The following is a 24033-nucleotide window of genomic DNA, read 5'->3' as shown; positions in this document are numbered from 1 at the left end:
TTTCAACACCCGCCATCCTAGCCACTAGCCACCCTTGGATCTGGGTTTCCATGAAGCCACTTTCAGCTGTCTCAGATGTCGTTCTACCCATTTCTGATCCGGCTGGAAGTGCTTGTTTGTTCAGCTTTCCCCCTTCGGCACAGCAAGAAGTTACTCTGTTGTAATTCCAGTTCTAGTGAGCTTGGTGCATCTTTAACAGTTCTTGTGTTGCTATTAACTTAGTGACTAACTGAGAGGTGTTTAGCTTTTGAAACAGTGCCACAAAAACTTCGCCCTCATCTCTGGGTGATGTCAGCCCCATAAATGGGAGCGCTGGAGGGAACAATAGAGATTGCAGTGGTAAATTTTAATGAGGTGGACCCTTCTTTGCCCCAAATCTGAAATTACGCCCAGGTTTTGTACCAGGCAGTGAAATGTATCTCTGAAATAATTTAGGATGTAAATTCTGATTTAAGAGTAATTTTGGTGCTTTGGCTTTTAAATTCCATTGGGGGGAAAAATCATCAAGTCTTTTTACATTCTCCACTACCAGATGATTTCAAGAGACTCATAAAGACTTTATGAGAAGAAACTGCTGATTTCTCAATGGAGTTGGCATAGATGGTCCAAACAAGCCTTAAAGCAGCTCTTAAAGGTAGGAGACAGTAAATTTAGCACGAGAAACTAAAAGACACTAGCCTCGGAAAGCCTCAATGAAAACACCCAGCAAGCAGACAGTTCAAGGAGAGACCAAAACTCAGCACTCTTCTTTATAGGGACCTAGATTCGTTCAGAGTTAGAGAAATAGTCTAGACATCAATGTATCCTAGATGGCTATGTGTGCCCAGAAGAAAGATACAGTCATGATCTTAAATCCATAGTTTAACTTCACAGTCATGATTTTAAGTCTATGTTTTAACTTTACAGACGAATCATGAAATTTAGCACCCATGTTGACCTGCTGACAACTAAACCATAATATTAATTAATGGTTCATGGGACCTTGGCCAAGGCCTACATTAAAACAGACAATGCTTATGCTGACGTGGCACAATCTCTTCAATAAGTACAATTAACTTTTCACTTTTTTAATGGTTTCCTCCAGCCAATGCCATAGAGAGGCGTTTCCATCTATCTTCAATGGCCTCCCAGTCACTCTCAGGCCTTTATATCCAGCAAAAACAAACAAGCTACATGATGCTAAGTGTTGCAAAAAATAAAGAGTTTAGGAGCTCAGTCAAATGCATGGGTTTGTATTTCTAAATTCCGAGGTTTTTTTTGTTGTTGTTGCTTTTTGTTTTTTTGTTTTTTGTTTTTTGAGATGGAGTCTCACTCTGCTGCCCAGGCTGGAGGCAGTGGCTCAATCTAGGCTCACTGCAACCTCCACCTCCCGGGTTCAAGCAGTTTTCTGCCTCAGCCTCCTGAATAGCTGGGATTACAGGCACCTGCCGCCATGCCGGGCTAATTTTTGTATTTTTAGTACAGATGGGGTTTCACTATCTTGGCCAGGCTGGTCTTGAACTCCTGACCTCCTGATCCACCCACCTCAGCCTCCCAAAGTGCTGGGATTACAGGCGTGAGCCACTGTGCCCAGCCGTTTTGCTGTTTTTGAATTCTACTTCTTATGCTCAATCACTTTCTCTGGTAGTTATTAGGCTCCTAAGAGAATTTGATTTTAAACCCAATTCCAAATAGCTAATGTAAATGATGAGCATCTCAAGAAAGTTTTCTTTATTTATTATGTATGTGAAGTCCCTTTTGCTACTGTTGACTAAATGACCCCATGATAGAATGGGCCACCATCCCAAAATTACAGCACAGATTGAGAATTTCTAACATGAAGAGGCAAAGTACATGTGCTTTGCTGGGGAAAGTACCTCATGCTATCACCCTCATTTTTTCTTAGCACTCTATCCTTTTTTATTTGTTTTCATCTCAGTTTGTACCTTAGAATCTAGGACTCCTTGGAATAGTCAGCCTGTTTCCAAGTAGCAACTGAGACCTGAATTTTGGAGCCATGCAAGGGATTTTAAACACACGGTTTTATATCTACATGTCAAATAACAGAATCCGCATTACCATAGAATGACCATAAACTTGCGGTTTTTTTTTTAATTCTTCACTTAAATAAATGCATGTCTGTCATTGAAAAATAGCCACTCCCCAAGATACAAATAATGCCACCACTTTAATGCAGAGCTAATATAGTCCTAGAAGCCCCTTTGACATTGAAGAAATCTTCTTGAAGCAACATCTAGAAAGTGCGTCCATAGATAACTCTCAGTCCACAGAGGGTATCTTCACAAGCAGGTGCCAGTGAACTGGCTGAAATATCAAGATGCATTTTTCGAAATAATGAGAATCTATAACAGCTAGAAACCATTCATTCAGTCATTCTTTTTTTCCAGTTCTGCTTCTTCTAATGTGAGTTTTGGGGAATAGATATTGATAGGTAATAAACAGCAGCTGCAATAATGCTATTCAATGAATACAGCCATTTTTCTTCTATAGTGTTCTATCCATGGGCTCAAGATCCTACAAACTAAAAGACAGCAGAGGCAGTATTACCAGCTTACTAAGGACCACAAGCGTGACTAGTCCAAAAGTTTAACAGTATTTGTTTCACTTATTCCTAAACCAGGGTTTTCTTAATCCTACTGTATCGTATCTGCAAAGTAATTAAAAATAAGTCTTGTGAATTATGCCCTAAGGAAGGCTAGCTTTCCAGAAATAAAAAAAAATCAGGCAGAAAGATGTGAAATGATTTATTTAGCATAGGCCAGAATAAAGAACTGCCAGCTGCATCTTTCCTCATCCATTGCTGAATAAATCCCATTAATTTTCTCAATCTGATAAATTACTGATAAAATCAAAGGGAACATGAATCCCAATGTTCTTGTCTCCCAAATGAGGCCTAAAAATCTGTGTTTGTTTACATATGCATTTCCAAAATGAGTAATTTAAGATTGCATTGTTTATGTCATTTGGTACAGGCTGCCTTTAGGCATGAAGGACACCAGCATTTTAGTGGCAAATGCTGCCCCTGTCACCTGCACCAGCAAAACCTTTCAAAGAGAAGCCAGAGGAAGTCTTGGTGAAGAAGCTGGAAATGTTAGCACAAGACAGGATCTCCTGCTTCCTTCCTGTGCTGCTGATTCAAGATAGATGGTGGGCATGGGACTGGTTGAACAAGCCTGTGGGTGTAAGGAAATCACAGCTTGTGTGTATGGCATAAATCATTAGAGAAGGGTACATCAGCCTGACATGGGTGGTTAACACCCAGCCTGGCTCATTCTAAATAGAAAAGAAAATGAGACCAGGCACTGGTGGCTCACACCTGTAATCCTAGCCCTCTGAGAGGCTGAGGCGGGAGAATCACTTGAGCCCAGGAGTTTGAGACCAGCCTGGGCAACATAGCAAGACCTATCTCTATTTTTTTTTAATTATGAATGAAAAAAAATTTTAAAGAAAAAAATGACATCACCTGACCCTATGATATTATTGGCCTTAATCAATGCAGCAAACTCAACAGAAACTGGTTATTATAAGCATAGTGGTTGACAATGACTACAAATTATAACTCACAGTGATTGAGTATTTATTAAGTATCAGATACTATGGTGTTAAGATGAGTTGTCTAATTTCATCCTCCCCACAACCTTTGCAAGTGAAGTCATTAAAAGAATCAGTATGGAATGAACTGGGAATCCGGTTAAAGCTCTTTCTCTTAGCAGGCATGTGATGTTGGGCAACTAACCTTTCTAGACCTCAGTTTCCTTATCTGAAAAATGAGACAGTAATGCTGCATGCCTCACAGGGCTCTTGTAAGGATTGAGCCAGCTGATGTACATAGAGCACTAAGCATATCATAAGCACCGTTTACTTTTAATTTTATTTATTATTATTATTTCTTTTTTAAAAAAAGAGTTTCACTCTGTCACACAGGCTAGAATGCAATGGTGCAATCTCGGCTCACTGCAACCTCCGTCTCCCAGGTTCAAGTGATTCTCCTGCCTCAGCCTCCCAGGTAGTTGAGATTACAGGTGTCCACTACCACACCCAGCTAATTTTTTTGTAATTTAGTAGAGACGAGGTTTCATCATGTTGGCCAGGCTGGTCTCGAACTCCTGACTTCAAGTGATCTGCCTGCCTTGGCCTCCCAAAGTGCTGTGATCACAGGTGTGAAATCCCATGCCTGGCCAATTATTTTATTTTTAGGTTTTGGGGCTTTTGTGTTTTGTTCTTATTGTTTGTTTGTTTTTTGAGACAGGGTCTTCCTCTGCTGCCCTGGCTGGAGTGCTGTGGCTAGATCACAGCTCACTGTAACTTCTGCCTAATAGGTTCATGTGATCCTCCCACCTTAGCCTCCCAAGTAGCTGTGACTACAGGTGCATACCACCATGCCCAGTTAACTTTTTAATTTTTTTTTGTAGAGACAGGATCTCTCTATGTTGCCCAGGCTGGTCTTGAACTCCTGGACTCAAGCAATCTTCCCAACTCTGCCTCCCAAAGTCCTGGGATTACAGGCATAAGCCACTGCACCCTGCCCTTTTAGTTATGTTTGATTTATGCTTATAAAGTAAATTGACACTGAGAGTGCAATATCTTTCGAAAATATCAAACATAATATTTTTCGTGAGAAAAAATGCACATTAGCGAGTATAAGTATCCTGCCATTGATCGCCAGAGAGTTCCGTTTCTGTGCCTGGCTGCAAGCGTATCGCTTTCCTCCTTCATGACCACCATGTGTGTCCCTCCCAGGGTCTTGCTGTTTGTGCAACAACCTGTCCAGGTTGGACAAAACCGTGCTTCTGTGAAAGATACACAAGCCCTTGCACTTTCCAGAAAAGTGAAAGAGAAAGTTAAGGATGGCACATCTCTCTTAAGCTCAAGTTCAGTTCAGGTGTGTCCTGCAGTAGCTGCCTTGGCTCTCTGTGCAGCCACAGCTCACACTGCTCTGTGTCATCATCCCACTCTCTAGATCTGCTGAGATATGGATGTTTATCCCCGTAGCCTTATAACAGAGTGAAGGGGCAAGAATTGCTCTCCCTGTCTTCACGAGGTGATTATATTAAAACCTTATTGCCAACATGACCTCCTAATTATTCCAGAGTGCCAAGATCTGGCCTTCCACAGTGCCTTTCCACACAATTACCATTGAGCCTGATGACCCTGCTCTTTTCCTATTTTCAATTTCACTTTTAAAATTACCAGGTTCTCTAAATCCGATGAAGGACTACCTCCACCATAAGAAAACAGCATATAAGGCACTGCATTTTCTATTTGTAAATATTAAAATAAAAGGGGGACTTCAGCCCCTGTTGATACAAACGTCAGCCTTGGGCTACAACCCCTGATTCCTATAAGATTTTTGTGTCCCCATCCTCCAGGGAATGGATACAACTAATTGCTCCAAGCAAGGTTGGAATCGCCATGCTGGCAACTTGGTTCTCTCTAGAATTGTGCCTGCACCTAAAACCATTTCCTAGAAGCAAGGGAAGGTGAGACTATTGGCCTGTGGAACAGTGAGTTTTCTATCATTTAATGCTCCCATCTGGTTACCACACACAGAAGAGCAAGCATAGGAAAATGTGTTTTCTATGAAAGTTCATTCTTGATCTTTTTTGAGCACTGGAATCACAGGATGAACTACTTTCTGAATATATTGTGTTTAAAAAGAGAATAAAGCCAGGCATGGAAATGCACACCTGTAATCCCAGCTACTTGAGAGGTTGAGGCAGGAAGATCACTTGAGCCAAGGAGTTCAAGACCAGCCTGGGCAACATAGAAAGACCTGGTCTCTAAAAAAAAAAAAGAGAGAGAGAGACAGAAAATAAAACTAGTATACCCAGTAGCTCCGATATTTGAAGGTGGGGTGGGTGACGGTGAATAGGTGAATAGAAGGTATTTTTGAGGAATATTTCTTCATTCTTCCTGGCAAAGGAAGAATCATGGAGAGGGCTGGGATTCTCTTTGCTCATTTTTTTTTTTTTGAGGCAGAGTCTCGCTTTGTCACCCAAGCTGGAGTGCAGTGGCTTGATCTCAGCTCACTGCAGTCTCTGCCTCCCCGGTTCAAGCAATTCTCCTGTCTCAGCCTCCTGAGTAGCTGGGATTGCAGGTGTGCACCACCATGCCCAGCTAATTTTTGTATTTTTAGTAGAGATGGGGTTTCATCATGTTGGCCAGACTGGTCTTGAACTCCTGACCTCAAGTGATCCACCTGCCTCAGTCTCCCAAAGTGCTAGGATTACAAGGGTGAACCATCATGCTCCGCCTGTCTTTGCATTCTGAAAGACTTCATGATGGTGATCTGCAGGGTGCTGAAATTTAAATGCACACACTCCGAAAAGGTCAAAGAAGTAAATGCTGGGTTCTTTTTGGTGCTGTCATTAGATACCATTTTACCAGCTTCATGGCCCTCAGAGGTCGAGTAGTGGAAGCGTGGCTGTCAGAACGTCAGGGTTTGTGGATGGTGCTTCTGGTACCCACCTATTTAGGATCTGTCACTGGTTCACTGGCCTTTTGGGCTGCCACTCTGGGTTTCCGTTTACTCACCTGTGAAGGACAAGTAATAATACCTACTTTACCTTCCTCCAAGGGATGTGGCTGCCCAATATAATTAAGAACTTTTAAGGTTCTCGTATTAAAGTATTAACAAGAATCCTCCCAAAATGGAAAAAAAAAAAACAAGATAGGAGTTCGTGGCTGCACTTGTCTGTTACTCCTGAGTACCTTACAACCATTAATGGCTAAAGGCAAGAAGACGCCAGGACTGATGTCACCGGCTCTGTAGTTCAACCGTCTTCTCCCCTGGTATGCTGGGAACGCTTAGGCAATTGACTTAAGCACCCCATGGCTCAGTTTGCTCACCTGTAAAATGGGTATAATCGTACTCACTACCTCATTCATAGTTAATTAATGATGTATAAAGCTTTTGAAACTATAAAGTCCAATGTATGTGCTAATTATTATAAATCCAAAAAAGCACCACAGTTCAATTTTTAATTACCTATATATTTTATTGAAAATACATAAAGCACATAATAAAATTAACCTAAGTGTCAAAAATTACTGCTTGCCTGTGCTGTCTTGTCCATCTCTCTGCCAGAATTACAGGAGCAATTTTCTAAACTAAATTAATAATTTCATTTTAGTGGTAGAAGTTGAACCAATATGACCAGGCCTGACCTATGATTTAATGTGTTATAAAATAGCATCTCCCATTCTTGCCTCAATTTCCCTTAGTTATTATAACTCAATTAATATAATACTAGAGCCTATTACCAAAATGTTGTAATAAAATTAAATAGAGATTTATGTCAGTTTCATGTTAAGGGTTTTAAACACTGAAGAATGATCACATTTTAAATTTAGATCTTTGAAGAGTAACCTAAAATATTCCATACAAGGGAAAAATATTTTTAAACTATTTTAAGACATAATTTAGAAGGAGAAAATCTAAAGTACAAGAAGGAGAAAATCTACAGGTACCCATCTTGGGCTTCTAACACTCAATTACCAAAAAAAAAAAAAAATGTCATTTTCTACGTTCTTCGCTTTCTCAAAACAGAATAGATTCTAGATCATAACAGTGAACATAAGCCCAGCAAACTCTGGGCTTATTCTTGTTTAATAATCAGTGGCCCATGGACATTAGACATTCAGAATTTCAAGTCCAAAAGGAGGACAAGAGATACAAAATGAAATTTTGGGTGTCGTTGGCCTTTAGAAGATGAGAGTAAAATTAATATCAGCCACATTTCTGAAGCCCGTTAGAATAAAATATTGTAATAAAGCCAGGAAGACCAAGACCATGTGGTCCCCTGTTTCAAATTAGTTAGCAGGTAGCTGGGAGATAACACCAAAGATTTCAAGAAACAACCTGAGACTCATCTGAAAGGCGTATGTAGGAAAGGCACATGGTAGCTGAAGGAATGAAAGAATGGGAAATGGAGGAATAAGTCCGTGCTGCTGCTAAGGGAATTCAGTGCAAGGAAACGAGCTCTGTGAAAATTTCTGGGGGCCAGGCATGGTGGCTCACACCTGTAATCCCAGCACTTTGGAAGGCTAAGGCAGGAAGATGGCTTGAAGCCAGGAGTTTGAGACCAGCCTGGGCAACATAGCGAGACCCTGTCTCTAACAAAAGTTTAAAAATTAGCCAGGCATGGTAGCATGCGTCTATAGTCCCAGCTATTTGGGAAGCTGAGGCAAAAGGATCCATTGAGCCTGAGAGTTCAAGGCTACAATGAGCTGTGATTGTGCAATTGCATTCTAGCTTGGGCAACAGAGAGAGACCTCGGCTCTAAAAAATAAAAATAAATAAAAAGGGAAAAAAGAAAAATTCTGGGTGCGTGTGTGTTCTCATTGTAGCCATAAAGAAAGGATGAGATCAGGAAGGGTACAGAGTTAGGGGAAATTAAGCTCTGCAAGGGAGTGTGTGATCCAGGTGTGGACGAGGGACCTTGGGAAGGAGGAAGACACATGAGGCTGCCCTTCCTGTGAAACCAAGCAAGCTAAACCAGCAGCGTTGCTCTGCACCCTGTCTGATTATATTTTAAGCTACAGACGAATCTGCAGCTATTACGGAACCACCTCTTCTAAGTGCCACCTTCAGTTGGCAATTCTTGATGGTACTGTCTCATTTGATGGCAAATGTGTCCCCCAGAGGGTTTAGCATAGGTGACAATGAGTGAAATTAATTCCTATGCTTTTAACAGCAAACATGCTGGATCCTGCTTGGAAAAGTTGGCCCTCACTGTTGTTTGTCTTATCCCAGACTGGCCCTCACTCCTACTCTCTCCTCTGCTGGCCACAAGCTGCAAAAGACACAAGACACATAATGTGTGCAGTTGGACTGGATCCAGAGCCATATTGGTTGCAACTGCATCATTGCTATGGCTTAAAATCACATTATGGTTCCACTCGGCACACATCCAAGGTTTTGAGGGAAAAAGCACGAATTGTTAAGTGGGGCAGTGGTAGGTATAGTACATAAACCGTTAGAAGAGGAAGCTAATGTTCCCAGAGTGAGTAGCTCCCCTACTTCAAATATAGGTAGGCTGAGGAAGAGAGAGGAGAGATTTAATCATCTTCCTCCAGAGTTGTTTTTTTTTAAGAGCTTGATTATGATGCATATGAAACATTTTAAAGTTTCAGTGCTACCTATAAACCTGTTCCCTTTTTGCTAATTGCTCTCCATAAAACTAGATCAAGAAGTAGGACTCCCAGCCCAGTTCAAGTTCTAGCATGCCTGCTGGGTACACGTTCAGAGTGCCTAGGTGCTATCTGACGGGCCCTCTGGAAACAGATAGCCTGATGGATAGTGATAAATAGGCAGATGCATTATATTAATAGGTAAATGGCCTTGCAAGGAACTCAAGGTGATGGAAAATAGGATACAGTAAACAGTTTGTCATCACAGATATTTCCTAAGAGAAAATGCTTGGGAGGGAGGAGACACCATGTTGCACCTGCATGATTCATCAGCACTGCGGGCTGCTCCAGCAGGGACCCACACCAGCCTTCTAACACCTTTGAACTGGAATCTGAACAGCTGTGTCAATGGCTGATACACAAGAGCAGGAATCCAAGTGAACCGGCTTGCAGTCAATTTCCCCCGCGTTAGTGGCAATCCATAAACAAGGTGACTGTGGGACATCCCTGAGTCTTTTGCCAAGGATTTCACGAGAACAGCCACCAGCCCTGATCTTTGACTCTGCGACACTTTAGGAAACCAGGAGATCCATGGGCTGGCCAGATCTGAGTAGGACCTTGGAGCTCTTCCCCTGGATTTGACAATTCCGATGAGTTGGTCTCAAAAACGTGTGCTTGTTCAGGGCATCTTTCATACAGAGTGAGGGGCTTAGATCCTTGGTTCTTCCTCATCACAGCATCTAACAAGCCTGACAAAGTGTTGTGTACCTTGTGTGAATCCCGCCCGCTCCAGTGGAAGCCTATGGCTTCTGTTAAATCTTAACGTGCACACTCCTTCACAGAGAAATCCCTTCATGGACCCACAGTGGAATATCTGCTAGCTCGTTTGTAATCCGTCCCAGTTTTCTATAAGAATGGCAATCAGTGCGGATGATAAAAAACCAATGCTTTTGGCTTACACCACCAAGCCCTTGTGAGACGGCATGATTTGTGATGAGATACCATTGATTCTGTCTAGGCCATTCACACATCATCACAGCAAGCAGAATCAAAGCTCTTACGAAGGCTTTTAAGGAATATGTCCCTAAAACACTGATTTATTAAAGGACTCTCTCTGTGCAGTATTTGGAAGGTAAGAAGAAAGGAGGGTGTGTGTGTGTGTGTGTGTTTGTTTGTGTGTGTGTGTGTGTGTGTGGTTTTAAGGTGTTAGCACTAACCTGCTGACAACAACTTTGGATCAGATGTAGCTTTCCCAGTGGTTCTTATGCCAGGATCCATGATTTAACACACAGAAGGAATGGCGCAATGTGCCTACAAAAATTAGAGTAACTGATCACATGAATTTTAGGGTCATGAGAGAAAGGTAACTGATTGCATCTCTCAGCAATTCCATCAGAGTTTCACAAACATTTAAAAGATGGCCTTTTTACATCCTTGAAGATGAATTCTGCAAGAATTACAGTACCAGAAAAAGAGCTCCTCAAGTCCCAGCTCCCAGGCCACTGGAAGGTGACCTAACGTGCAAAGATTGAGCATGTCTCTGAAGTGGCTTATCGCTAAGGATTAAAATAGCATGGAAAGTCATTTCTCACTTGTTTATTTGGAGGAGCAAAATGTATGCCAGCTTTTAAAAAATAATAATGATTATTTTCTGAATTTTACTACCTGGTTGATACTTCTAGGCAGGCCACAGCAAAACTAGTTGGGACTAGACATTATATAATTATTTGTAAAGCTACTTTCTGGATTTTGTCAGGTGTATTTCTCTAACTTAAATAATATTGCATTTGTAAAGAAAAGACCTAAATTTCTCACTTTTACCAACAGGTTAAAGCTTTAAAAAAAATAGGCACAACTTAAATAGAACATTGGGGAATAGCAGGATTTCATCGGGGCTGTTGAAAGGCAAGAAATAGGCTAGGTGCAGTGACTCATGTCTGTAATCACAGCACTTTGGGAAGCCGAGGTGGACAGATCACTTGAGGTCAGGAGTTCGAGACCAGCATGGCCAACATGGTGAAACCTCGTCTCTACTTAAAATACAAAAAAAATTAGCCAGGCATAGTGGCTCACACCTGTAGTCTCAGCTACTTGGGAGGCTGAGACATGAGAATTGCTTGAACCCGGGAGGCAGAGGTTGCAGTGAGCCAAGATCACGCCACTGCACTCCAGCCTGGGCAACAGAGCGAGACTCTGTCTCAAAGGAAAAGAAGAAAAAGAAAGAGAGGCAGGAAATGAGTTCTTGGATAGAAAAGAGTCAGATGCCTTACCAGCATCCCCCTTGGCATGGCACTGCAGTTTCCCTCCCCATCTCAGCGTCTCATGAAAGCAAATCATGAATTTGATTCCTAAAAAACTATAGCTTGACTGATAACAGCATTACAGAACATTGAATGTATTCTGACTTCAAATGGATTCGCTTTCTTTGATTAAGGAAAGGAAGTGACTTAGATGACTAAGTAAAATGTAATAGCATCCTGGAAGAACTAATATTCCCAAACTAGTTCTATCATAGGTATGGATTCCAATCCTGTATAATGTGGAAAATAGGTACACCATCAGTACTAATCAGCAGAGAATTGACGGTGTCATGCCCAACAACTATACTCAACATAAAAATTGTGTCCAGAAAATAGTTGTATGGGAGGCCAAGGTAGAAGGATGGCTTGAGGTCAGGAGTTCGAGACCAGCGTGGGAAAACAAGACCCAGTCTCTACAAAAAAATTTAAAAATTAGTCCGGTGTGATGGCATGCACCTGAAGTCCTAGCTACTTTGGAGGCTAAGGAGGGAGGATCACTTGAGCCCAGGAGTTGGAGGCTGCAGTGAGCCATGATTGCACCACTGCACTCCAGCCTGGGCAACAGAGCAAGACTCTGCCTCAAAAAAAAAAAAAAAGTTGTAATAAAACAGTCCCTTCTTAATGTTCTTCTCTATTAATTTGGTACAATTCTCACCCCTAAAATGAACTATTTTACCTTCATTCTCTCCGCAGATGAATCTGGAGATCAGGAATATGAAGGGAAACATTTGCCTACTTTCAACAGAAGGATAGTCTCAGAATTGTGCATTCTTTTGTTGTCCTATATGCTCAAAGCCAATGAGCACTGTAGGGAAATAAACATGTTTTCAGAATAACCATTTAAGACCAACTGAACCTAAACTAACAGGACTAAGAATAATATTGTCATAGCTATTCAAACTGATTCTGAATCCCACGGGAAGTTGTAGATAATTCCTATCACATATCACAGCAATCTCAGCTTCTCAGCGATGGGAGATGATTAACATTTATCGAGAATCTTCTATGAGCTACACACTGTACAAGGCATTTTTACTTGTATTTAATCCCCAATCCAAGGTTGATGTTCAGCTGGTCTGCTCCAGTACAAAGTCCTGGCCGACGTCCAGTACAATTGGCCAGATATCACTTCTGATTGGTCTGTGTCCCTAATGACCCCTCAAGAGTACGGTTATTATTATCTCAATATTTACAAGTAAGGAAACTGGAGTTCAGTGAATAACTAACTTCCTGAGGGTCACATGGATTTTAAGGGAAAACACAACTGACCTCTTCTTACGCTTCGTTTGTCTCTTTAGGGACTCTATTTCATGTTTTTACTCTGCCAGGAAAGTTGAAGCTGGATTTTGGTTTCATTTTTCCCCAATATATGCTCAGGGAGGTGAATAGTGTCACTCGAATACCCTCACAACTATTCATTGAGGACCCTGTTTATAAGGCAATTGAGTATGGCCTATTATGTATATATGAAAGGGATTTTTATTTTTTTAAATATCTTTAACAACATTGAGTACTTTTTTTTTTTGAGATGGAGTTTACATTGTTTCCTTTTTTCTTTTTTTCTTTGAGACAGAGTCTTGTTCTTGTCGCCCAGGCTGGAGTGCAGTGGCGTGATCTCGGCTCACTGCAACCTCTGCCTCCCGGGTTCAAATGATTCTCCTGCCTCAGCCTCCCGAGTAGCTGGGACTACAGGCACCCGCCACCATGCCTGGCTGATTTTTGTATATTTTGTAGAGATGGGGGTTTCTCCATGTTGGCCAGCCTAGTCTCAAACTCCTGGCCTCAAGCGATCTGCCCACCTGGGCCTCCCAAAGTGCTGAGATTACAGGTGTGAGCCACAACACCCAACCATTATGAGTATATCTTCATTTAGACTGAACAAAAATAAGAAAGATTGGTGTGCAGACATACACGCTGAACTGTGTGTTTGGTTTCCCAAGGGTTATGAGGTCATTCTTTTGAGAATCCATAACCCAATTCTTATATATCTCAAATTCATATTTTCCCTCCTTGGAGAAATAGCCCTGAAACAGGAAGACTTAGAAGCCTTATCTGCTGGGATTGAAATTGTAACTGTGACTCTGTGGTGTCTCTTCCTAATTTCTTTCTTTTTTTTTTTTTTTTTTTTTTTGAGACAGGATCTCACTGTCTTGCCCAGGCTGAGGTACAGTGGTACAGTCACAGCTCACTGAAGCCTCTATGTCCTGGACTTAAGTGATCCTCCCACCTCAGACTCCCAAGTAGCTGGGACTACAGATGCAAAACCACACCCAGCTAACTTTTTTATATTTTGTAGAGATAGGGTCTTACTGTGTTGTCCAGCCTGATCCCAAACTCCTGGACTCAGGCAATCCTCCCACCTTGGCCTCCCAAAGCATTGGAATGACAGGTGTGAACCATGGCATCTGGCCAGTCTCCTCCTAATTTTAAAGTCGGCCTGAGGACGAGTGAAGTGACAGGTCACGATGATGAGCTCCCCTTCAAGTGTCGCCCCTTGGATCTTCCTGTTCTTTTGTTCTTTAGGTAGAAATCAGTCCTAAGAAATTTTGTAAAAGCCCATAACTCTCATCAGCTCCCTTGTCCCAGGTTATTCATACAGACATGACAAGAATTAAAGGTGCTCACTGGGCTTCTGTTATTTCCTTTTCTCTTCTTTATTTTCTTTTTTTTTTTCAATGTTTTGCATCAAAAGTGTGGTTTTTTTTTCATGGACGCTTAGCAGGTTTTAATTTTATAAAACATTGTGCAACCAGGTACCTTAGGGAACAGTAATTAACTGGGATTATGTTTTCGTTTCAGTAAATTTTAAATGAGAAGACTAAACACTGATTTTCGTCTATCACCAAATGGGAAAACACACAGCCGTGCTCATTTCTTAAGTATATTCCTTTGCTTATGATAAACATTTTCCTAGTGCTATTTGCAATTTGCCCCCTTGCTTAAACAGGCCATGCCATGGATTATTTAAAATAGTGAAAAATGTTTACTTTTAATTTTAATACATGTTCTTGGCTGTCTCCAATCTGCCTTCTTCCCACCAGGGGCTGACAACTACCCCAAAACAAGCTAGAATATCTATTTTTTACTTTTTTATTTACTTATTTATTTATTGAGACAGGGCCTTACTCTGTTGCCCAGTGCAGTGACATGATCACGGTTCACTGCAGCCTTAACCTCCTGCATTCAAGCAATCCTCCTCCCTCAGCCTCTCAAGTAGGTGGGACTACAGGCATGCACCATCATGCCCAGCTAATTTTTTTTTAATGTTTTGTAGAGAAAGGCTCTCACTACATTGCCTAGACCGGTCTCGAACTCCTGGCCTCAAGCAATCCACTCGCCTTGGCTTCCCAAAGTGCTGAGTTTACAAGCATGAGTCACCTCTAGAATATTTATTTAACAAGAATTTTTTTGCGCATCTGCTGTGGGCCAGGCATTGTTTCAGGTGCTCTGTATTGCAGTAAATACAGCATCAGTTTCAAGTTGAACTCAAGATCACTTCAAAATGAGGATTAGAAGATGAAGAACTGTGGTTGCCTCTAAATTATATACTAATTATAAGTTCAGAGAAAGAATAAACCTTACTGGTGTGACATCCCTGCAAGGTAGTAGCAAGCCTTGGAGTTAACTTGATTCAAAATCCAGTTCTACTATTTCCTAGATATTGATCTTGGACAGCGAATTATTTCCCAAGCCTCTTTCTTCATCTGTAAAATGGGAAAAATAGTTTGCCATCCTAGGTGGCTATTGAAGCATTTAGTGAGATACTGATACTCAATATGTGGCAACTATCATCCTCCTCATAATCATCAATCACATGAAACTCCAAGGAAATTTTCCAGTGGGCAGAAAATAGCCACTAACTTGCAGCTATTGCTATTCTGTCTACACAGTGAGAAGTCTCTGATGGTAACCTCTGTAGAACAGATCTATATGCACACATAGGTTAAGATGATGTTTTTATCTCTGGCCTATGTCTCTCGCATCTTGTAACCAAAAGATCACAATAAAGTTTTAATTTGAATAAATTCTATATTATGTCAAGAAATAGTCATTAATAATGAACATGTCCTATAAATGATTTTCTTGAAGAGTGATTTTATTAATTTCAAGTTCATAAGGCAATCAAACTAACCTGGGGTGATTTCTGCTAGCAGTCCTTAGGCAACCTGTTTTAACCAACAAATGGGAGAGATTTATAGTGAACCTGCCAATTGCTTCTCTCTCTGTGGGTCCACTCTCACAAGGCTTTAGGTACAGAAAACAAGCTTGTCTGCTCATTCACAGTGTTGATGTCTGTGATCTGTGCAGAGTTTGCTGTATAAAGACACAGCTCATCTTGATGCCTGTCTGAATTTTAACACGTTTTTAAATTTTTTTCAGCTCTATTGAGGTATGATTGCAAATAAAAATTGTATATATTTAAGGTGTACAATATTATGATCTGATACCCATATATATCATGAAATGTGAGTAACACAATCAAGCTAATCAACACATCCAACACCTCACATAGTTATCCCTTTTTTAAAAAACACTGAATAAAGAAAATGTGGCACATATACACCAAGGAATACTATGCAACTATAAAAATAATGAGTTCATGTCCTTTGCAGGGACATGGATGAAGCTGGAAGCCATCATTCTCAGCAAACTAACACAGGAACAGAAAACCAAATACCACATAAGTGGGAGCTGAACAATGAGAAAACATGGACACAGGGAGTGGAACATCACACATCAGGGCCTGTAGTGGGGTGGGAGGCAAGGGGAGGGAGAGCATTAGGACAAATACTTAATGCATGCGGGGCTTAAAACCTAGATGATAGGTTGATAGGTGCAGCAAACCACCATGGCACATGCATACCTATGTAACAAATCTGCACATTCTGCACATGTATCCTAGAACTTAAAGTAAAATAAAAAATAAAATAAATAAATAAAAATAAATAAAAACATTTTTCTTTTTAAAAATTTTTGTAGCTTATTCTCTATTTTTTATTTTTCATTTTTGTGGGTACATAGTAGGTGTATACATTTATGGGGTACATGCAATGTTTTGATATAGGCATGCAATGTGAAATAAGCACATCATGGAGAATGGGGTATCAAAATCACATTTTTCTTAATAAAGCTCCACTCTGGTCTCTGTACTAATAAGAAGACAAGCAAATTCTGAAGTGATTTTAACCAATTAGGATCATTATCTCAGAATGGAATGAAATGTTCTTGTTTGTGGCCTCTTGAAAGGAAGTACATGTGTCCATCTTGGTTTGGGGAGACCCTTGCACCAAGGCAGGGAATAAAATGAATGCCCTTCGGTTGTGCAGCCATGACTCTCCTAATGCAGTTTGGTGGCCAGACTTTCGGGAAGTTCATAGGTTCAGACAGTTCAAGTGGGTCTCTGAAAAATGGGCCAAACGACTGATGTCCAGTGTAGGATGAAAACAATGAAGGTGTCAACAAGTCACTCTCATCTGCCCATTAGTGCATGTCCCCCAAGGACTTTTAGCGGGCCATATTGCCAACTTGAGCTAGATTACTAGCTTGGTTGTTAAGAGGATGTAATAAAAAAAAGGCATTTCTTCCAATAAGTCTGTTTCTCATGTAGTTTTTAAATAAAAGCACACCTATAAAAAAAAAAGAAAGAAAGAAAATACTTTTGCCCCACTTTTTGAAATGTGACCACAAACTATATTCTTCACCCCAGATCACTCTCCACACCATCACTATCAAAGGCTTAGGTGACAAAATAACCTCAACTTCAAAACCATGTTATTTTTCTCTATGCTTCTCCCTTGAAAGTTAGTTCTTAGAAGCAAGAAATCTCTATTTGAAGTTTTAAACTTGCAGCATAGAAGTATAACCTTAGCAAGAAACAGAATATTTAAAAAATTTTACACTAGTATAACATCATGAGGCTTACAAGTAATGTTACATCAAACATTTTGTTTGATACATTATTCAATAAAGATCGACCCAGTCACTGCTATTCAAGTACTAGTGGGAGGCACCAGACCTGCAAAGCAAAGGGGATCCCAGTCCCCAAAAGGTTCACAGTCCACCCTTGAGACAGACAGGATATTATTATTCTATCCATTTTGGGTGAAGGAGGCTAAGGGACATGTCTAAAGTCACATAACTAGAAAAAACCCAAGCTGGGCCGGGTGCAGAGGCTCATGCCTGTAATCCCAGTACTTTGGGAGGTTGAGGCAGTGGATCACCTGAGGTCAGGAAATCAAGACCAGCTTGGTCAACACAGTAAAACTCCGTCTCTACTAACAATACAAAAAAAATTAGCCGGATGTGGTGGCAGATGTCTGTAATCCCAGCTATTTGGGAGACTGAGGCAGGAGAATTGCTTGCACCTGGGAGGTGGAGGCTGCCATGAACCAAGATCACGCCACTGCACTCCAGCTTGAGCAACAAGAGCAAAACATCATCTCGAAAGAAAAGAAAGAAAGCAGGAAAGAAAGAAAAGAAAGAAAGAAAGAAAGAAAAAAGAAAGAAAGAAAGAGAAAGAAAGAAAGAAAGAAAGAAAGAAAGAAAGAAAGAAAGAAAGAAAGAAAGAGAAAGAAAGGAGAGAGAGAAAAAAGACAGAAAGAAAGAAAGAAAGAAAAAGAAAGAAAGAAAAAGAAAGAAAGAAAGAAAGAAAGAAAGAAAGAAAGAAAGAAAGAAAGAAAGAAAAAGAAAGCAAGCCAGAAAAAATAAAGAAAGGGCCCGAGCTGGAGTTAAAATTGAAGTCTTTCTTCATTAAGTACTCTGTTCATTTATTTCTACAAGGCTGCCTGTGCATGCTCTCCCAATGGAGGGACTTTCTCTGACTCTCACTGATAGAAATCTTCCTCATGTAGTCAACACTAGAAATTGGTTGGAAATTAATGAGGATTCAGCATAACTAGAGTTCCTTCTGAAAAATACATTTGTCCCATATATGCCCTGAGTTTAATCTCAAGCCTACTGCAATATAAGCTATAACCCATGTGTAAAGTGCCAGGAGTTTCTTAAAGGTTTTTGTGTGGTGCAAACTGGAGGAAAATGTTTTAAAATTGTTAAGTGGAGTTTTTTCTGCCTCATCTATGTAGATTTTAATGTGCAGTGGATATTATCTGACTTTCAAACATCTCTTTCATGGGACTTTCAAATATTTACTCTTCAAGAGTAAATATGATAAACTTGTCATATGCTCAAAAATAATTTCATTTATTTTTAAAAGGCATCATAAAGAAGCTTTCTATTTTATCAGCATAAAAAAATATGATTTGCCAAAGAAAGATTCTTGCCTAATCAAGGGCATAAAGGAAGCATCTCATTAATTTGAGGAAGACATTATGTCTATTACGGCAACATCTTAATTGTACTGCAAGAAAAATAAAGATAGCGTTACATGAACAGGAAAGAAACCTCTGTGTTCTATATGCCAATCAGTCACAGGAGCACACTAAGAAGAACTTCTAAGATATAATAATTGTTTTCATAACTCAGGAACTCCCAAGCACATTCAGCCTAGGCTATGGCATTAGTCGCATAGCCTAATGATTATGTGCAAATCCTTCTTGAAAAAGCCACGTTCATCAGTTTTACACGTGTTTTTTGTGCCATTCTTGTTGCCTTTATTTTCTCTTATACTTGTAGCGGGGATCTCTGAGTACCTTTGTGCCCTCTTCTGATTCTTGCCACTGGGACTTTTTCGGCATCTGGTTCATAACATTTCTCGTTTCCGTTGTAATTTCTCTGATACAGATAAAAACAAAAGAATGGAGTCAATGCAGTAAAATGTCATCTAAAGAGACCTTCAGAACATCTTGATATTGTGTTGATATATCTCCTGCCACTGGAGCCAGGTCTAGATCAAAACAGAAGAGACAGTTACTAAGGGCACTGTTCTTTGGAGGACAGCTACAAGGTTGTAATGGGTGAGGAGAGCAAAAATAGCCAGGCTGCAGTGGAATAGTGACTGCCATGCAAAGAGGTAGAGGGAAAGTTAAGCACTGTCCAATATGGCAGCCACTTGCCACATGTGGCTAGGTGGAGCATTCAAAATGTGGTTAATCCGGCTGGGCTTGTTGACTCATTCCTGTAATCCCAGCACTATGGGAGGCCCAGGCGGGCGGATCATTTGAGGTTAGGAGTTCATGACCAGCCTGGCCAACATGGCAAAACCCGGTCTCTACTAAAAATACAAAAATTAGCAGGGTGTGGTGGTGTGCTCCTGTAATCCCAGCTACTCAGAAGGCTGACACAGGAGAATCACTTGAACCTGGGAGGTGGAGGTTGCAGTGGGCCAAGATTGCGCCACTGCATTCCAGCCTGGGCGACAGAGTGAGACTCCATCTAAAAATAAAAATAAAAAAATTTGGTTAATCCAAAGTTGATGTGCTGTAAGTAAAAAATATACACAAGATTTCATATTCAAAGAAAACAAAGAATGCAAATATCTCTCTAATAAATTTTGTATTGATTACATGTTTTTGTTTGTTTGTTTGTTTGTTTTTGAGACAGGGTCTCACTCTCTCACCCAGACTGGAGTGCAGTGGCACAATCTTAGCTCACCACAACCTCCGCCTTCCAGGATCAAATGATCCTCCTGCCTCAGTTTTCCAAGTAGCTGGGATTACAGGCGTGTACCACTACTGCCTGTCTAATTTTTGTATTTTTAGTGGAGATAGGTTTTCGCTATGTTGGCCAGGCTGGCCTCAAACTCCTAACCTCAAATGATCCACCCACTTCAGCATCCAAAAGTGCTGGGATTACAGGCATGAGCCACCGCCAGATTACAGTTTAAATGAGATGTTGGTTATCTCGTGCTAAAGTACACTACTAGAATTAATCTCACCTGTTTTGTTTCACTTTTTAATCTACTAGAAAGTTGAAATTACATACATGACTCACATTATATTTCTATCAGACAGAACTGTTATTGACTGTCTAGCTTGTCTTATCTCTATCTATCTAAAACAACAAACACATCTGAGGATCAGAAAATAGACACATTACTCTGAAGCATTCTGTCTTGGCTGAGAGATCCCAAAGGGCAAAAGAAAGAAACAAAGGTTTGATTAAGGAGACTTGCCTTCACTCTCATGCAATCTTTCTCTTCCTCCCAAGCAGAAATGGCCTCTTAAATGCTCTAAGAAGAGCGTTGTTGGGACAGGCATGGTGGCTCATGCCCTTAATCCCAGCACTTTGGGAAGCCAAGGCAGGAGGATCACATGAGTCCAGGAGTTCGAGACTAGCCTGGCAACATAGCAAGACCCCATCTCTACAAAAATAAAAATAATCAGCCAGGTGTGGTGGTGCATGCCTGTATTCCCAACTACTAGGGAAGCTGAGGTGGGAGGATCCCTTAAGCCCAGAAATTCAAGCCTGCAGTGAGCTATGATCACACCATTACACTCTAGCCTGGGCAACAGAGTAAGGCCCTGTCTCAAAAAAAAATAAAAAGAAAGAAAAAAAAAGCTGTTGTCACAATACTTTCCTTTACAGTGTCCTAAATAAGATCAGAAAGAGCCTCCAAATCAAGAAAACCTCAACTCTAGAGAGGCTTACCTTCTTAGAACCATAACATTCCAACAACTATCTAAACTTGAAGGTGATGAGCCAATCTAAAATGAACAATTAAAGTTTGAAAACACCATTTCTAGATCAGGGTTCAGCCCTATGCTCTATGTGGCTAGGAGTATTTAAACCTTGGACCACGTGAAAAAATGAAAGAACAGTCATTCTCAAAGCATTTTAATCCTGTTGAGATAGTTTGGGGAAAGAGCTTCTCACACTTGGATGCCATATGGAAGAACATCAACGCACTTTTGTTAGCAATTACTCTAAAATAGCTTTGGGTCTAATTAGTGACACTTGAAGTGCTCATCATAGTAATCTGTAGTTATCAAATTTTCATCAAAGAGTAAGACAGATGCAGAAATTTTAAAAATGGAATGAATCAGTTATGTCATTTATTTGATTACAGGTCACAAATAAAATCTGGTATTAATGGCTGGGCACAGTGGCTCACACTTGTAATCCCAGCACTTTTGGAGGCCAAAGCGGGTAGATCATTTGAGGTCAGGGGTTCGAGACCAGCCTGGCCAACATGGTGAAACCCTGTCCCTACTAAAAATACAAAAATTAGCTGGGTGTGGTGGTGTGTACCTGTAGTCCCAGCTACTCAGAAGGCTGAACCAGGGAGGCAGAGGCTGCAATGAGCAGAGATTGCACCACTGTACTCCAGCCTGGGCAACAGAGCGAGACTCTGTCAAGGAAAGGAAGAAGAAGAGGAAGAGGAAGAGGAAGAAGAGGAAGAGGAAGAAGAAGAACAACAACAAGAAGAACAAGAACAAGAACAGGGACAAGAACAAGAACAAGAACACGAACTAGTAGTTAGAGGCTTAATATTTTCTTCACATAATCAGAGATCTGCAAGTGGGCCATCCATAGCTGATGTTGCTGCTCTGGGCTGCCATCAGGGATCCAGGCTCTTTTTTTGCTTTGTAATGGAGTCTTGCTCTGTTGCCCAGGCTGAAGTGCAGTGGCACAGTTATGGCTCACGGCACCCTCAATCTCCTGCACTCAAGCGATCCTCCCACCTCAGCCTTTCAAGTACCTGGGACCACAGGAGCACACCACCACGTTCAGATAATTTTTTTTTATTTTTTGTAGAGATGGGGTCTTGCTCTGTTGCTCAGGCTAGTCTCAAACTCCTGGGCTCAAGCAGTTTTCCCACCTTAGCCTCCTAAAGTGCTGGGATCACAGGAGTGAGCCATCACGCCCATCCTGGGCTCTTTCTACATATCTGCTCAATGACATTTAGCTAGTACATCCTCATTGTCACACTTGTTACCTTGTAGTTACAAGATGGCTGCTGAATAGCCAGATAGGGGTATTTGCTGTTTCAGGAAAGCAAAATCCCTCCCAGAAACCCTCAGAAATGAGCTAAGGGTTTCTGGGAGGGCTTTTGCTTTGCTGAAACAGGAAATACCGCTATCGGGGCATTCATTAGTCAGAACTATGTCACATGACCTGTCCTGAGGGAAGGGAGGTTGAATAAACAAGTGTTTTTTGCTGGGCTGGCCTCTGTCCCCCAGGCTGGAGTGCAGTGGTATGATCATAGCTCACTGCAGGCTTGAATTCCTGAGCTCAAGCGATCCTCCCACCTCAGCCTCCCTAGTAGATAGGACTGCAGGCATGTGCCACCACACGTGGCTAATTTTTGTAGTTTTATTTTTGTAGAGGTGAGGTGTCACCATGTTGCCCAAGCTGGTAAGGAAGAGGAGGATGCTCTTGGGTGGGCAATAGCAGTCCTGCCACAGAAAGATCTGCAAAGGTTATTCAATCACCTTAGACACAGTGAACCTCAAACATCTAATAACACTGACCTCTGACAAGTATGAAAAAGTGGACCAAGAAAAGTATACAAACTCCCAAGCACCCATCAGATTTATATATCTGGGGAGAGGCAAATAAGCCTGAGAGCTATTTGGGGACTAAGCACTTGAAATCAGATTTTTATTGATTTAATGATGGTTTTATGAACAATTGGTATAACTAAATTTGAATAATAATGGGCTCATTTGATGATTATCAGAATAGTATTGAACAAATAGCACTGGATTCTAAAAGGGCATCTATGAGTTTAATGGCCAGGAAAACAATTTGTAAGGGAAGAGACTAAAGGAAAATAACCTGTTGAGTCCTGGTTTTCTTGGAATACTGTCTTTCAAGCAGCCTCTCTAACAAATTTTTAAGCATTTGCCCCCAAGGAATATATAAATAGTCCCTTCCAGTCTGGTGATTAGAATGGTGTCAGTTGAATCACTGAGGTACCACAAATATTGTGAGCCTACCAGGAGGAAATGACATAGCCACTCTGGCCATTGATCCTGGGGCTCTATGAGGCATGTCCTTAGAAGACCAGGAATGTGATTTGAGAGATTTCTACTTTTTTGAAAACCTTGCAAGGGGGACAAGTCTTAGAGCAGTGTTTTTCAAACCATGGCTCTTGAATCACGTGAATTGTAAAAGGAAAATTTTTTAAAAGAAATAGAATTGAATAGAATAATAGAATAGAGTGGAGTCCATCATGTGCAGTAAGGATGGTATCACTCCAAGAACATTCCATGTCAATTATGTATGTCTGTGTGTACTGGGCACCATGTAACATGAATGTCTTTCTGTAAGCCATGGTCAAAAATGTTTGCAAACCCACTGCTGACCGGGTGTGGTGGCTCACCTCTGTATTCCCAGCATTTTGGGAGGCCAAGGTGGGAGGATCACTTAAGTCCAGGAATGCAAGGCTGCAGTGAGCTATGATTTCACCATTGCACTCCAGTCTGGGTGACAGAGTAAGACTCTGTCTAAAAAGTAATAATAGTAAAGAGAAGCCACTGCTTTTGCAGTTTCAGGACACCTAAGAGAGCCATTAGCACAGGTCACCAAAACGAAAACACAGCCCTGAAAACAGTATAAAAACTCAGAACAAGAAATGAGCCCAAGAAAATGGAAGTCAACATAGGGTAATGCAACCTCCACATCTCAGCATGAATAAAAAGTAGTAGGAATAGCAATAGAAAGGATAGCAAATCTTTATCCTATCATAATTTATCTTCAT

At 40.9% G+C, this 24033-nt stretch overlaps 1 long non-coding RNA gene across 2 annotated transcripts in view; it reads right to left on the bottom strand.

Annotated features, from left to right (window-relative positions):
- Nucleotides 1-16500: 16500 nt before the first annotated feature.
- LOC107984205 (uncharacterized) overlaps nt 16501-24033 on the bottom strand; it is a 36994-nt gene continuing 29461 nt past the window's right edge. The window contains exons 2-3 of one of the 2 annotated variants that reach the window (XR_001747359.2): nt 19082-19163; nt 16501-17059 (exon numbers count right to left, since the gene is read on the bottom strand). This is a non-coding gene — a long non-coding RNA (uncharacterized LOC107984205). Of the gene's footprint in view, nt 17060-18153; nt 19164-24033 lie in introns of those variants that run through there. The other variant, XR_001747360.1, reaches the window with a different exon arrangement.

The sequence above is a fragment of the Homo sapiens genome, chromosome 10 (assembly GCF_000001405.40).
Source record: "Homo sapiens chromosome 10, GRCh38.p14 Primary Assembly".
Lineage (NCBI taxonomy): Eukaryota > Metazoa > Chordata > Mammalia > Primates > Hominidae > Homo > Homo sapiens.
The sequence above is the reverse complement of the archived record's forward strand: the minus strand, read 5'-3'. Positions and strand labels throughout refer to the sequence as shown.